Source organism: Homo sapiens, chromosome 9 (assembly GCF_000001405.40).
Source record: "Homo sapiens chromosome 9, GRCh38.p14 Primary Assembly".
Classification (NCBI taxonomy): domain Eukaryota; kingdom Metazoa; phylum Chordata; class Mammalia; order Primates; family Hominidae; genus Homo; species Homo sapiens.
This window is the reverse complement of record NC_000009.12, coordinates 77,919,691-77,935,158: the sequence shown is the minus strand read 5'-3', so window position 1 is coordinate 77,935,158 and position 15,468 is coordinate 77,919,691. Positions and strand designations below refer to the sequence as shown.

Below are 15,468 nucleotides of genomic sequence, written 5' to 3'. Positions count from 1 at the left end.
AGTATTTCTTTGGGTATAATTTTCTTATTTTTTTGAGACAGCATCTCACTCTGTCGTCCAGGTTGGAGGGCAGTGGTGCAATCTTGGCTCACTGCAACCTCTGCCTCCAGGGTTCAAGTGATTCTCCTGCCTCAGCCTCCAGAGTAGCTAGGACTACAGGCCCACACCACCATACCCTGCTAATTTTTGTATTTTTAGTATTGACGGGGTTCCACCATGTTGATCAGGCTGGTCTTGAACTCTTGACCTCATGATCCACCCACCTCAGCCTCCCAAAGTGCTGGGATTACAGGCGTGAGCCACCGCACCCGGCCCTAATTTTCCTTTTAACTGACTATTAGATGCCACATGAACAGTGGACTTCTAAAAGTCCTTAAAGGTCAGTAACTGCTCTGCATGTGCAGATTCAGTAACTTTTGTTTTCCATGATACTTTCTGTCTTCCAGATCCTTTTGTGGTTGTATGCGTATTAGGCACACTTGGAACATATATAAGTCCTTCTTAGTATTCTCAATGTCATTATTTGAAATTACTGGGATAATATTAGCCCAGAAAGCATGCCATGTTCTGCAATCTGAAAATCTGCGTATTTTTTGAGACTTCCTAGATCATTGCTTCTCTTAACTGGGGCAGTACTTGGCTGGCTCCCTCTAGCACCTTAATTCCCCTACCTTGAAAGATAATTATTTTTAGAGGCTCAAAGTGAAGAGCCACGTGAGTAAAAGCAAAAAAAAAACTTGACATATTAACCTTGAAAGAAGACTACTGTAGTTTTTAGTCAACTTATTTGAATTATTATTTGAATATATACTAAATACTAGGTGACGTTCTCGTGAGAAATTTAATAGTTGTTAATGCTGTTTAACAATATAGAGAGAGGGAAAATGATCATAAAATCCAACGCTGGAGAGAACCCTTGAGGTCATCCAGGCCAATTCGCTCATCCTCAGCTCTCATTGGCCAAGTGGCTATGTGCGGATCGTTGTCTCCTGTGGGCGGGCTGGGAGGGCCCCTGACTTCAGCTGATGTTCTTTCTGTGCCGCACCTCTGCCTGTAGCTGATCTCTTGATGAATATGCAATAAGGTGGAAAATGGCATTTCAAATCCATCTTAGGCCTTTTCCTCTGTTATAAATGTAATTTGTTGTTCTCTTTTGAGGAGGGCCACATGAGCTGTTCTATCCTGAGGAAGTATTTGCAGGGTTAATAAGGAAATTCAGAGTGCTTTTCAAAAGAGCGTCCCATAATTTCCCAGCCGCTGCATTTTTAAAGTGTGCAATTTATCTTTATGTGTGACCTAATAATCTGGATTGCGTGTGTCACGTTTTTTATTATCTGGAAAAAAAATGTTAAATTCTGTGGGTGGTGTATTAAGTTTGAAGGGTCCTCGCTGCTTAAAATCTGTTATTATTATGACTTTATATTTTTATATCTTTCTGCTTCCCAAATAATGTTCAGGGAAGTCCCGGTTTTCTCTAAAAGAAGTGTGCATGTATCAATGGTGCCACTTTTTTTTTTTGAGACAGGGTCGTACTCTGTCACCCAGGAGTGCAGTGGTACAATCTCAGGTCACTGCAACCTCTGCCTCCTGGGCTCAAGTGATCCTCCCACCTCAGCCTCCCGAGTGTCTGGGACCACAGGCGTGCACCACCCCGTCTGGCTAATTTTTGTATTTTTAGTAGAGATGGGGTTTCAACATGGGCTGGTCTCAAGCAATTCACCCACCTTGACCTCCCAAAGTGCTGGGATTATAGGCATGAGCCGCCGCTCCTGGCCAGATGATGCCACTTTATAAATGTGTGTGTGTGTGTTTGTGTGTCTGTGTGTGGAACTTAGAGACCAACAAGTTTCTTACCTTTTCTTTAGCTAAGGAGATTTATCTCATAGGAAGTGAAATTGCAAATCAGGTTTTGCAGCCTGCTCTGACTCACACATTAGCAGAAGACGGTCAGTCATGTCTGTGTCCTTGCCTTTGAGGCCCAGAGAATGTAGGACACAAATCGCATCCTCTGTTTCATCCTCCGTGGGTAGTCTCCATGTCGATGCAGTGAACTTTCTAGGTGTACGAGAGTGCTTTTCATTGGGATGAATACACATTTCAAACTTAACCTCCTCTCTTTGCAAACTCTTTCCTCTTCAGGCTTCTCTAAGAATCTAGTGCCTCCATCCATCAAGCCAGAAATCAACGAGTTCTCCCTATGTCATCTCCTCCCTTTTTCACTTCATCCATCTCCAAACTATCCCTCCCCTTGTCAGCCCCACACAGACTTTTTTAGGATTTTTTTTTGTTTTGATTGTTGGAATACCCTACTAATTTGTTCTTAACAGTCATCCATTCTTTACCTAGCATAAATCAAGGCCTGTTACTTCACTGGTTCAGACTTTCCAAGGCTGTCCAGTGCACTTAGAATAAAATCCAACTTGTTTCCTAAAATATAATGCTCCAGGTGACTTGGCCATTGCAACTGTAGCCTGTGCTCCTGCCGTGCCTCCTACCTCTGCCATCCAGCTGCTGTGCCACAACCACACTGACCCTCTTGTACCTGCAACATGCCAGCTAAATATGTTCCCACCTCAGCCTCCAAGTCAGCTGGTCAACTGCTTGGAATGCTGTTTCCTTCTAATTTTCTTGTTGCGGGTTCTTGAATATTAGTTTTAATGTACCTTCTTAAGAGGGTATCTCAAAGCAGCAGTCAGGTCACTCTGTATTTCATTGTCGTTTAATTCTTTAGCGCATAGCACTCATCTCCATTAGATATTTTATTATTCATCTATCAATAAATCATCTGCTCACACTTGCATGTTACCTTTGTGACAGTAATGACTGTGTCCTGCATCCTTGATACTGGAAGAATGTCTGATATGCAATCTATATCCAATAAAATTAAGAATAAACAATTCAAGCTAAAAATCTCCAAACACTATGAATTTAAATACTGAAATGCTGGTGATGGTTATCTCAGTTATTTTGGGAATGGAGAATTTGAGTCAGGGCTGAGACTAGATAAGGTGAATAAAAGCACTTGCCACTGGATCAAAACCAAAGGCAGCTTCTTAGGTGCCAATATGGTGCAACATAGTTCTGTTAATGATCCTGTCTTTATTTTATTCTTTGTGAATTTTGGGTATTAATTTTGACTTTTAAAAGTATTGCATTAAAATATTATTTCTCTTGACTACTGAGGTTTTGTTGTCCCCCCACCCAACCCTGCCCTGTAGCCTTTTATCAGACTACTCTCTCATTTTTGCACTTGATTTTGCATTGTAAATTATAGCTAACATTTATTGTCTATTTCCTACCAGGTACTGCTTTACTTGGATTAACTAATTGAAAACTCAGAGCAGAGCTGTAAACTAGGTGGTGGTATTTGCAGATGAAGAAGCAGGCTTAGAGAGGACAGGTAATTTACCCAAGGCCACAGGGCTATTAAGAGGAGGAACTGGAATAGGTAGCATATGCATAATATGTAGGTAGGAATAGATGTATAAAGTGGAAGAGAGATTAGAGTCTTTAACTTCCTGGAATATTTTCACTACTGTTCTTGAGAGTTCTTTTTTTTTTTTTGAGACAGAGTCTCACTCGCTCTGTCACCCAGGCTGGAGTGCAGTGGCATGATCTCGGCTCACTGTATACTACGTCTCCGGGGCTCACGCCATCCTCCTGCCTCAGCCTCCTGAGTAGCTGGGACCACAGGTGCTTGCCACCATGCCTGGCTAATTTTTGTATTTTTGGTAGAGATGGGGTTTCACTGTGTTAACCAGGATGGTCTCGATCTCCTGACCTCGTGATCTGCCCGCCTCGGCCTCCCAAAGTGCTGGGATTATAGGCGTGAGCCACCGCACCCAGTGAGAGTTCTTTAAATAAATTGGCAGTGAGCAAAAGTCTAATGCTTAGGGATGGAAATGCGGACCTGCTGGTTGTGTAAGGAAGAGAAAAAGAGGGAACAGAATGAATGTCATTGAGATGCTTGTAGGACAGGGACCGCTGTCCTACAAGCATCTCAATGACATTCATTCTGTTCCCTCTTCCCATTTTGTTCCCATTTTGGCAACAGAGACCAGTTTTTTGGGCAATTTTTCCAGGGATGGGGGTCGGGTCGGGGGGTTGGTTTCGGGATAAGACTGTTCCACCTCAAATCATCAGGCATTAAATTCTTACAAGGAACATGTAACCTAGATCCTTCGCATGCACAGTTCCCAGTAGGGTTCATGCTTCTATGAGAATCTAATGCACAGGAGGGCATAGCTCAGGCAGTAATGCCTGCCACTCTCTTGCTGTGCGGCCCGGTTCCTAACAGTCCAGTGACTGGTGCTGGGCTGTGGTCCTGGGGGTTGGGACTGCTGCTTTAGGACACTTAATATGCTTCATATATTTTTTTGATCACCATTTAGCAGCACATTAGAGGATATGAAAAAATTTCCTATTGAGGCCAAACACTCCTGAGACCCTGTGACCTTAAAGTATGTAATGACTTTGAGAAAAAGTTTTTTAGTAAAAAAATCACTGCACACCACACATCAAAATATGTATGTTTATTTTGTTAGTTAATTGTAAAAGGTAAAACTTTGAAACCTAGAATAAAATATATATGTTTGAGCCTTTTTAAAGACATAAATGAAAGAAATCACTAAAGGAAAGCTTATATGAATGACTGTAATCGTTTCTTTCATAGTGCAAATTTATGCATCAGTTTTGTCAACAAATGAAAATAAAATGACAAATTGGGGAAATATTTGTAAATGAGCATTAATTTTGTGTTTAAAAACTACATTGTTTTAAAAAACGAGTAGGAAAAACAGCAAGTCCTTAAATAATTAAAATGAAAGGGCAAGTTCATAGAAGAAATAGAAATGGACAAGAAAAGTATGAAGCATGTTTCTTCTCAAAAGATGTAAATTAAATTTAGTTCAGTCTCTCAAATTTGTAGGGGTTAAAAAATATAGTCTTTTCAAAAGTGAGGTGGGGGATGGGTCTGTGGATGTGTCAGCTGGTACAGTTACAGGACTGCCAGATCCTGCACAAAGATTACATCCTTGGTCTAATCACATTTCTATGATACTCTCCTAAGGAAATGGAGATTCAGGCAGAGATTTTTGTTCAGGGGTGTTTATCAGAGCATTATTTACAAAAGCAAAAAATTAGAATTGCTCAAAATGTGTTATGACAGGGTAATTTTTAAATTATCACACATCTTTATGTTGTTTTTCAGATAATCATTATTAACCATTTCTGAAGAATAATTAGTATCAGAGAATAATTGTCATAGTATGTTAAGCGAAAAATAACAATAAAGTATTGTTGCAGGTTTTAAAAAAAAATTTTTGTGTGTGTGACAGGGTCTTGCTTTGTCGCCCAGGCCAGAGTGCAGTGATGTGATCTCTGTTCACTGCAGCTTTCGCCTCTTGGGTTCAATTGATTCTTCCATCTCAGCCTCCCGAAGGAACTACAGGCGCACATCACCACACCGGGCTAATTTTTTTTTGTATTTTTAGTAGAGACAGGGTTTCACCATGTGGCCCAGGCTGGTCTTGAACACCTGACCTCAAATGTTCCACCCACCTCGGCGTCCCACAGTGCTGGGATTACAGGCATGAGCCACCGCACCCAGCCTGTTGCAGTTTTATTTTAGAACAAGAACAGGAAAAAGTACATTTACCTAGAAAAAAAAGACTGGAAAGAAATATATCAAAATGTTCAAGTTTTAAAATAATTTTCTATAACAAATATTTGTAAGTTTTATTAATAGAAAAAATGTTTAGTGTATGAGGACACAAGATCAGGAGCTCTGGACAGATAAGAGACCTTGGTAGGTTCCAGTCTTACCTTCTCCCTCATTAGCTGTCAACCAGCAGAATCTTTGAATGAGTTGGTTCCCTCCTTAATGAAATCAATGGGTTCAGGGCTTCTCACACCTTTTCTCCAAAATACATCCAGAGGCAGAGAGAGTGAACATGTACTCTTAGGGGAAAGAATAGGAATAAGTTGAGCAGATTGGCTCAAAGTAACTTGCTGAACAAGTTTTAGCATGAAAATTCACATAAACTTCCTGTTCTCCAAATTATACTGATGCTAGTTTAAAAAAATTTTTAAATTGAGATATTTATATACCATAATTTACCATTTTATTTTTATTTATTTATTTAGAGACAGAGTCTCACTCTTGCCCAGGATGAAGTGCAATGATGCGATCTCAGCTCACTGTGATGTCCGCCTCCCTGGTTCAAGTGATTCTCCTGCCTCAGCCTCCTGAGTAGCTGAGATTATAGGCGCCTCACTACGTCTAGCTAATTTTTGTATTTTTAGTAGAGACGGGGTTTCACCATGTTGGCCAGGCTGGTCTCGAACTCCTGACCTCAAGTGATCTGCCCACCTTGGCCTCCCAAAGTGCTGGGATTACAGGTGTGAGCCACCATGCCGGACCTAAAATTTACCATTTTAAAGTGTACAAATTTATGTTTTTTAGTATATTCAGGAAGTTCTGCAACCAACTGATGTTAGTTTTTAATACACAAATGTTTACTACGGGCACTCCAAGAAAATGCTCTTGTACCTTTGAATAACCTTGTATGATCAAGTGACTCTTCTGGGAGGATTTTACCACACTGAGAAGTCCAGGACTGACATGACCTTCTAATACTTTCAGTGAATGAATTTTCAATGTGTTTTGCCTGTCTTTTCCTTTAAAACAACTTAACTGGATTAGTTATTATTAATAGTCCTGGTTACCACTAAATTACATGTCCAGTTTCCACTTGTAGTTGGTTATACTAAATTCAGTTCTGTTCTGTGTTAAATTTTAAAAATTGTCTGGGATCTTCTGCACGACCATGCTGGGGACAAATGGTTAATTGTATTCAACTCTTGCCCTCAACAGACAGTCATGAAAAGACGGGAAGTTATGGCAACTTTGGTCTTAGAGCTGCTGTGTTTCAAATGCAGGATTTTAATCTAAGTAGAGGAAAATGTGCAGAAAACAGAATACACATATTTTAAAGTAGATATAGCCTGGAATGTGGACAACACATGGATTGAGTTTTGACTCAGTGTTATTGAATACTTTTTTCTTTGCAGGTGTGGATTGATGATGTGCTTATTGGTAGAAAATTTCTCCTTAAAATTTCTAGTTCTACTTCATCCAAGTGTATGTGAAAGTAGCCCAAGTTCAGATGAGGTGGTGCTGAGATTTCATGTTTCAAACTCCTAGCTTAAACCAGTGGACCTGAAGTACAGTTACTCTATAATTCAGCTCCATGAGTCTTGGGTTTTGTTCTTGGCTGTTGTTTATCTGGGTGCTGACCAATTAAGAGAGTGGGGTGGGGGCATTCGTCCTGAGCCTTCCCATTCATTAAGATCTTCAGATTAGACTTCTGATAGTTTGACAATATCTCCAGATACAGTCATGAAAGGCCCTGGCAGTGTGAAATAAATATATTCATTGTGTAACTTTAAATGCCACAGTTTTGGTAACTGTTTTGGCATAACAGAGACCCTTGAAAAAAAAAAGTAGAAGTGGTATGGGCTTCCCTCAGTCTGTGAGAGGCCCTGGTAAGGTGTGTTTTCTGCCCCCACCCCCTTTTTTTTCTTCAGAGTAAAGATGATAAACCATGTAGACCCTTGAAGTTCCTGGTAGTATTCAGTGATTGTTTTCCAGAGCCCTTGTATGGAAATGGGCACCACCATCCTTCGGAGCAGTGGCAGTAATAACTGACATTTTTTAAGCATTGAGCAATGCTTCTGTATATGTGGTTTGGCCTTGGCAGCTCTTTTGATAACATAATAGCCCAAGAAGCCAGTTTAAGTGAGAGAAGGAACCAATGAGTCCACGATTGCTTTCAACAATAAATGCTAATTTATTACCATTAAGAAGGTACATATGATTGGATTTAAAATGGTCATTTTACTATTTGCAGACTATATCATGCAAATAGGCAAAATAATCATTGTAAACATATATATGGCTTATGTGAATCAGACACATAGAGTAAATACAGATTTTTGGCAGAACTTGTATGTGGGAATCCTGTTGTGTTGAAAAGATCTTGGGGGGAAGAAAAGGCCTAAAATGGAAGCATCAGATTGTGTGAGAGTGTGTGTCTAATGTGATGTATTCTAACAGCTTACAAATTGATGCACTGTATCATAGTATATTGAGTTTGTGTTTGATGTTTGTTCTGATGGAAGGAGATGTGAATGAACTGGAGATTGCTCTCTGTGCTTTATCCTGATCTAGCGAATAGGGAAGAAAAATTAGTATTCCTTATAGCCAATTACGCACACTGGATGAAGTGGCCTTCTCATAGCATGGTTCTTAAATAGTCTCATTTCTGGGTAATCTCATTTCTGGGTATTTAGATGAGCTGAGATAAGAAAAGGCAGAGTACTTGCCTGAAGGTACAAATAACTTTTATGGGGATATTTTCAAGTCATATTTATATAGGCCATTGAAAGAGCAGGGTTTTTTCTGGGACTCACACCCTTGTGTGTGTTCATTTGCTTGTTAAAGTTATTAAATGACTTGATTGGAGATATATTTAAATTAGCAAAAATGAGATCCTTATCCCTCCCCTAGATATTTTATGTAAGGGCTTGTCACCAGATTTTATAGTACCAGTGGTCTTGGAAGCAGAGTCATATTTCTTTAGATTGGTCAGAGTTATTTGTGCTTTTCATTGCCCTATGCTGTGAAAAGACATTAGTCATCACTGCATTCTTGAAATAATCTACTAGTAGAAAAGTCTGCTTTTTTTCATTCAGAGATAGAGAATTGTGAAGTCTCTTACAGTTTTCATTTTCATGTGGCCTTAGGAAACAACATAATTTTATGTAATTTGGGAACAGCTGTTTTTTTATTATACCAAAATTTTTCATACTAATCAGGACTAGATTGTTAAAATGGCCATTTCAAACTCAGAGAGTATGGTATAATTCTATAAAAATAGGAGAATGACACATGAAATTTGGCTTACACATTTGTTAGAAATAATTCATTTGTCTCTGTCATAGAACTGTATGGAACAAAGAAGCTGAGTTTTTTTCTTTGTTGATGTTTTAGTCCATATGCATTTGGCCTTCCCTATTCGCGGGTTCCATATCCATGGATTCAACCAACATTGGATAGAAAATATTTTTTAAAAGCCATAAAAACAATACAACAGTAAAAATAATACAAATGACAATACAGTATGACAACTATTTACATAGCATTTACATTGTATTAGGTATTATAATTTAGAGATGTTTTAAAGTATTTGGGGGATGTGTATAGGTTATATGCAAATATTATACCATTTTATATCAGGTACTTGAGCATCCTTGGGTTTTGGTGTCCAAAGAGGGAAATCCTGGAACCAATCCCTTGTGGATACCAATGTATGACTCTGGTTTTTTGGCTGAATTCTGTTCTAGTGCCAAATAATACCTTAATTTCCTACTTTTATTATTCTGCCTACAATATTTGCATCATACAGATTTTTCTTACGTGAAACTTTGCCTTCACTTTGAATTCACAACATTTGTATAATAAAATGAAAATGTGAACATTAAGTTCTTGAGTGAAATTTACCTGGAATTTAGGGCTGGTCAATTGGAAGATGGCAGCAAGATTCAAAATGGGTCCCTTTAATTGAAATAACATTCAGAAATTCAAAATTAGCTTAAAGGGAGAAAAACTGGGTGTAGTCAAAGCCCAGATGAGATATTTTTAAATTGTGGGCAATAGAAGTGAATTATCATGGATTTAGGATAATTGTGAAAATCATGCCCAGACCTGTTTCTTTATCATGATTGGCTTCCAGAAGTGTGTCATGAGAATGAGTTACTGAATAGAAAACACTTTATAAATAAAAGATTTATAGAGAACAGGACAGAGGAGAAAGAGAGGATGCCCTCCATTCCCTTGTATTCCTTGTCCTTCATTTGATTGGTATTTGTGCTAGTCAGAGCTCCAGAAGGAAACGAACAGCACACTCCAGTGTGGGGATTGAGGAGTGGACCAGGTGTAAGTAACTTGTAAGAGCTGGTGCAGTAACCTGGGGCCAAGCAATAGCTGGACAAGGCAAGGGAGCAGTTGTTGGGACCCAGAGAGAGCAGCAGTATGGAGAGGGCCACCCAGCAGGAGCTGGGACCTTTTGAAGGCAACATAGCACACCTGTGCTGCCACTGCAGCGAGGAAGCTAGGAGAATAAATGCCCCTTCCTGTTTGTCCCGCTCTCTGGTTTCCTCTTGGCTAAGCCCAAGCAGAAGACAGAATATAACAAAGCTGTTGAAATCCCTATTGGTCAGCCTCCTGGGGGTACCCAGCAAGATGAGATGGTTGAGAAAGGATCCCTGGGTGTGTTTCTGGCCAACAGGAAAATATCTTAGAGTTGATACTTTTATTGTTTTTTCTTTCCTCTTAATTTATCCTAATTCATTCATCAGTCACATGTTTGGCCCCTACTTGGAGTCTACATTAGTGTGATATCCAGTGTGTGGACAGTGCCCAGGGGCTTGGTGACTAGATCCAAAGAAGTGCCAAATGTTGACTGCTCTTGCCCAACGTGATTTCATTTAAACACATGCCAGTGTGCTTATACTTCATATACTTTCTCTTTTTTGGTGGGGGCGTAGGGTAGTGATAAGTATATAAAAATTTCTCAGGTGACCAGGAGAAAAAAGGTCCTGTTGCCTGATATTAACCTCACAAATTAGGATTTCTTCTTTTTTTATTGTGAATTAATGATTGTTTACACTTGGGCCTTCAGAGCAAACCTTTGGCTCTGGGATCGTGATAATAAAGAAACAATCGGGATTTTTTTTGTCTTGTATACTTTTAATTGCTTGGGAGAGTAAAAATACTAGTTTCTATAAATCGTTGGTTGATAATGAGAAAAAATTTTGTAGCTTTATTTCTACTAGAGAGATGGTAGTTTTCAACCACTTTATGCTTTTATCCAGTATTCATGGTTGGGATTATAAAATACTCATTTTAAACTTTTTGGATTAATCCTGTTAAACTGGGGTGATAGCATTCACATTACAGCTGTTAATTTATATTTCTAGGAGTTCCAGATCACTTTACTAAAAGTAATAGGAAAATTATTATAAAGGAATCAGCCACTGCAGGACTCTGTGGCTAGAAATACCTTTCATTGTAACTGTGTGAGGGCTATGTATTTACCAAGACATCTGCAGTCATTTAAGAGGCTTCTATGAAAACTGTAATACTTAATTGAAATTTTGTGATTGTTTATAAAGATAGTAATGAAATCCAACCATCAGAAAAACAAAATGAATTTAGGACAGATGGCGTATTACTAGCTTTTATTTTTTTTCTCCCTCCTTCCTTCCCTCCCTCTCTTCCTTCTTTCCTTCCTTTCCCTCTCTCTTCTTTTCCTTCCCTTTCTTTCTTTCTTTTTCTCAGCTTTGTAGTGAGCAAATGGCATTAAGGACCCTGATGATAGGGACATTCTGTGTTTCATTCTATTATTCCGTCTTTAATATCCAAATTGGCACTTTTATTTTCTTCACATTTTTGGGGTAAGGTAAAGACAGTTATTGTTTTGGAGATCTCAAGGAAATTTGAGAGGGAGTGAGAAACAGGCCCTGAGAAAGGACACATGAAAATAACCACTCATATTTAGAAAAATGAAGCTTTTAGATTTGAATTCATTGTAGGAGAAATATGCTGTCATTTTGTGAAGTGATCCCATTTTTCTGTCTTGTCTTCTTCCCAGGGACATATATAGCTCTGTTAGGGGTTACCTTCAGGCTTATGGTAACGGAAAAGTAATATTGAAGATGTGAAAAAGGAGATAGCACAGAAGGAAAAAAAGCTAATCACAATAAATTTCTATATAATGTTACTAGTCAAGAATCGGGAGAGGGAAGAACCACCGTTGCTTTCCTGAATTACGTGATTCCTTGGAATAACTCAGTCAACCAACCTCCCACCAGAAATAAATTCAGGGGATATGTGTTATCTAGAAAAATGATTCTTCTTGTCCTATCAGGATACTGTGTTCTTATGCCACATTTTAAAATTGGAGAAAATGGGCTGGGTGTTGGAAGGCAAGGCTGGTGCACCCCTTGAGGCTAGGAGTTCACAGCCAGCCCAGTCAATCTAGTGAGAACCTGTCTCTACAGAAATTTAAAAAAAAAAAAAAATTAGCTGGGCATCGTAGTGCATGCCTGTAGTTCCAGCTATGGGGAGGCTGAGGTGGGAGGATCAAGAGACTCAGATGGGATTTCTTTATCTCAGGAGTTCAGGGCTGTAGTGAGCTATGATCACACCACTGCGTTCCAGCCTGCATTACAGAGCAAGACGCTGTGTCTAAAAAAAATAAAATAGGGAGCGTGTCTAGAAATTTTCAGACCTTTTTTTCTTATCTCTGTCTGAATACCGTTTGTGTAAGTACACTGTCATTTCCAGATCCAAATCCTGGCTAATCAACCCAGTGTCCTGGAAGCGTTTCAGATATTCTCCAGGGAACAGAGCTTTATCAAGTTTTATCATGTTCAAAAGATGCTGTTGCCATTGTTTCTTGCAAGATACATGGTTACAAATCACTATCAAAATTCAGTGCTGAGTGGTTTCCAAGGAGGTGACGGGTTTGGGTTTTTCATTGTTGTTGTTTGAGGTCATCTGCCTTTGAAATAGACTCTCTCCCTCTAATTTTGCTAAATGTTCACCATAGGTAGTGTTTCCAATTCTAGAGTCGCTCCTCTCAGCAGGCTATCTGGGGATGTTAAATCCAAGGCATGGTATTTGGTTTAGTTATCTGAGAGACTGAGATGGCACTGTGGTCTGATGAGCTGCTATTGTTCATCTTTCAGGGACAGGAGAGAGTGGCAAGAGTACGTTTATCAAGCAGATGAGAATCATCCATGGGTCAGGATACTCTGATGAAGATAAAAGGGGCTTCACCAAGCTGGTGTATCAGAACATCTTCACGGCCATGCAGGCCATGATCAGAGCCATGGACACACTCAAGATCCCATACAAGTATGAGCACAATAAGGTAGGTGCGACTCTTCATTGGAGCAGTCAGCTGAATGTTCCAGGTGTTCACAATAATGTGACAACACGAGTAGCCTCTTGACATGTCTGGAGTGCATAGGGGGGTTTGGAAATATACATTTTCCATCCCATCATAAATGAGACTTTTAATAGATAATAAGTTATTGATAAATGTCTTTTTCTTAAACCTCTAAAGTTATACCTATAAAAAACCAGATTTGTATTTTTAGTGATATCAATGAAAGGCATATTTGGATGTTCAGCAATAAATATTTTCAGGTTTAAAATTTGGAGAAGCACATTATGTTAAGGAGAGAGTTTGTAAGTATCATAAATTGGCCAAAATAGGGGATTTCAAAGAGGTGGTGGCCTTGCTTTTTAATACATTGAAAAAAGAGTGAAAACAACCTAAAACTATTCTGTCTGGTTTAATTTTGAATTTTGTGATTTTCTTTCAGTAGTACCACAGGCTTCATTTGATTTCAAAATAGGTCCATCTGTCACTTCCAATAACCTTTCCAACGCATTTCCCTGCAACTGTGTTAAAGTAACAGAAACTTCTAAAACCACTTGAAAAAGGATTGGGGGAATAAACCCTAAAATTATTTTAGCTTTTTACAAAATAAGCACACTTCCAGTATCCTCTAGCATTATTTCTTGGTTGAAGTAGAATACCATCCCACTTCTCCCCTGAGTGAAAATAAATGCTGTGATTGCTCATCCTCTAAATATTAAAGAGATGTAATACCAAACAAGATTGGTATACCTGAGTGTTGTCCCATGTTTGAATTTATGCTGCAGTTGTCCTACATAAAGCTTGTAGGCAGGAACTGGACCTGCACCCAGGGTGTGACTGTCTGTGCTGAGGCTACCAGCCCAAGGGAAGGGATATCTATTTGGAATTTGTTAGAAATGTCTTTGTTGTCTTCAAAAGACTTCGTTGCCTTCCCGTTAATCAATACATCCCCCATGGATGCAGTCTTTGCTCCTCAGGGATTTTAGATATGCTGATCCTATAAGTGAGCCTTGCCTTTTGTTGATAAAACACTGCATTTATACCTATAATTATTTTAGAGCCTTCAATAAGAAATTTTCATTCTCTCAGTACTTTTGATAAATCTACTGTGAAGGATATTTCCATTTTCCAAGATCAGTAAGCAATAGCAAGAAGTTGCAATGTCCAGTGGGACTCATAGATTTAACTCACAAAGTGAACCCACTGCTAAAATAAGGCAATTCTGTATACCTTTGCCTCTGTTACCATCCCAAGGCTTCTATAATAAAATACCAAATCATCTTAAAATCAGGCATTTGTTTTTCTTAGATGGTTCCTTGAAATTAACACTGGTTTCTTACCTAATTGATACTTTCATACCTGGTTTTCCGGTGGCAACAGGAATCTTTCCACAAATAACAAAAAGACCCTCCACAAATAATTCCTCCTGCTTTTATTTTCAAGGGTGAAAAAGAACTGTGCAAGTTTGTGAGCCCAGGAACATGGTAATTGAGCCAGAGTAAGCTGCATGGATATATCTAAGTAGTCTGAATTTGAAAGGATCAGGGTTCTCCCTGCCCCAAGAAATCTCAGTGGTTTCTGAAATCGTTAGCATGCTTGTTTCCTTGTAGTTGTAATTGTGTTGAGTTTGTTTGTTGTTTATTTTTTTAATACCAGCGAGTTTTCCAGTTTACGGTCAGTTAATAATATGATGATCTGATGAATTCTGCCTGACTTACCATGTGTGTGCTATTTGTTTTTTATATATACACACCACACTGCCAGTTTACACACTAAAATATAATCTCCCTGAATTTTATCCCCCAAAATCTTATTTCTTAGATGTTCCAGAAGAATCCTTCAGGACCTTGCCCTGTTTTAAGACAGGACCTTGCCCATATGAAGATCATTTATTATACAGTCATGTAGATGTTAAAGATGGGGTGGAATTTATGCCTTATTCATGTAACACATTGAAGAATATTTAACAAGTTATTTGAACTTTTCATGTCAATTCTTTTTTTTTTTTGAGACAGAGTCTTGCTCTGTCATCAGGCTGGAGTGCAGTGGCGCGATCTCAGCTCACTGCAATCTGCGCCTCTCAGGTTCAAGCGATTCTCCTGCCTCAGCATCCCAAGTAGCTGGGACTACAGGCGTGCACCACCATGCCCAGCTAATTTTTATATTTTTAGTAGAGACGGGGTTTCACCATGTTGACCAGGTGATCTTGATCTCTTGATTTCATGATCCGCCTGCTTCGGCCTCCCAAAGTGTTGGGATTACAGGCATGAGCCACCTCTCCCGGCCTCATGTCAATTCTAATTAAGTAGACATTACTGTGTTGAATACTATTCAGTTATAAATTGACATCATAAAACGTTACAATATATGAGTTTTCCTCAGATACCATAATTATCCTCATAAATCCTCCTACATATCATGACTTTAGTGTGATGACCTCCCAGTTTCCCATGTT

At 39.0% G+C, this 15,468-nt stretch overlaps 1 protein-coding gene across 3 annotated transcripts in view; it reads left to right on the top strand.

The window, feature by feature from the left end:
- GNAQ (G protein subunit alpha q) overlaps nucleotides 1–15,468 on the top strand; it is a 315,715-nt gene that overhangs the window by 96,653 nt on the left and 203,594 nt on the right. For all 3 annotated transcript variants that reach the window (NM_002072.5, XM_047423239.1, XM_047423240.1), the window contains exon 2: nucleotides 12,814–12,998. In NM_002072.5, coding sequence (NP_002063.2) covers nucleotides 12,814–12,998 — 185 coding nt within the window. The remainder of the gene's footprint in view (nucleotides 1–12,813; nucleotides 12,999–15,468) is intronic.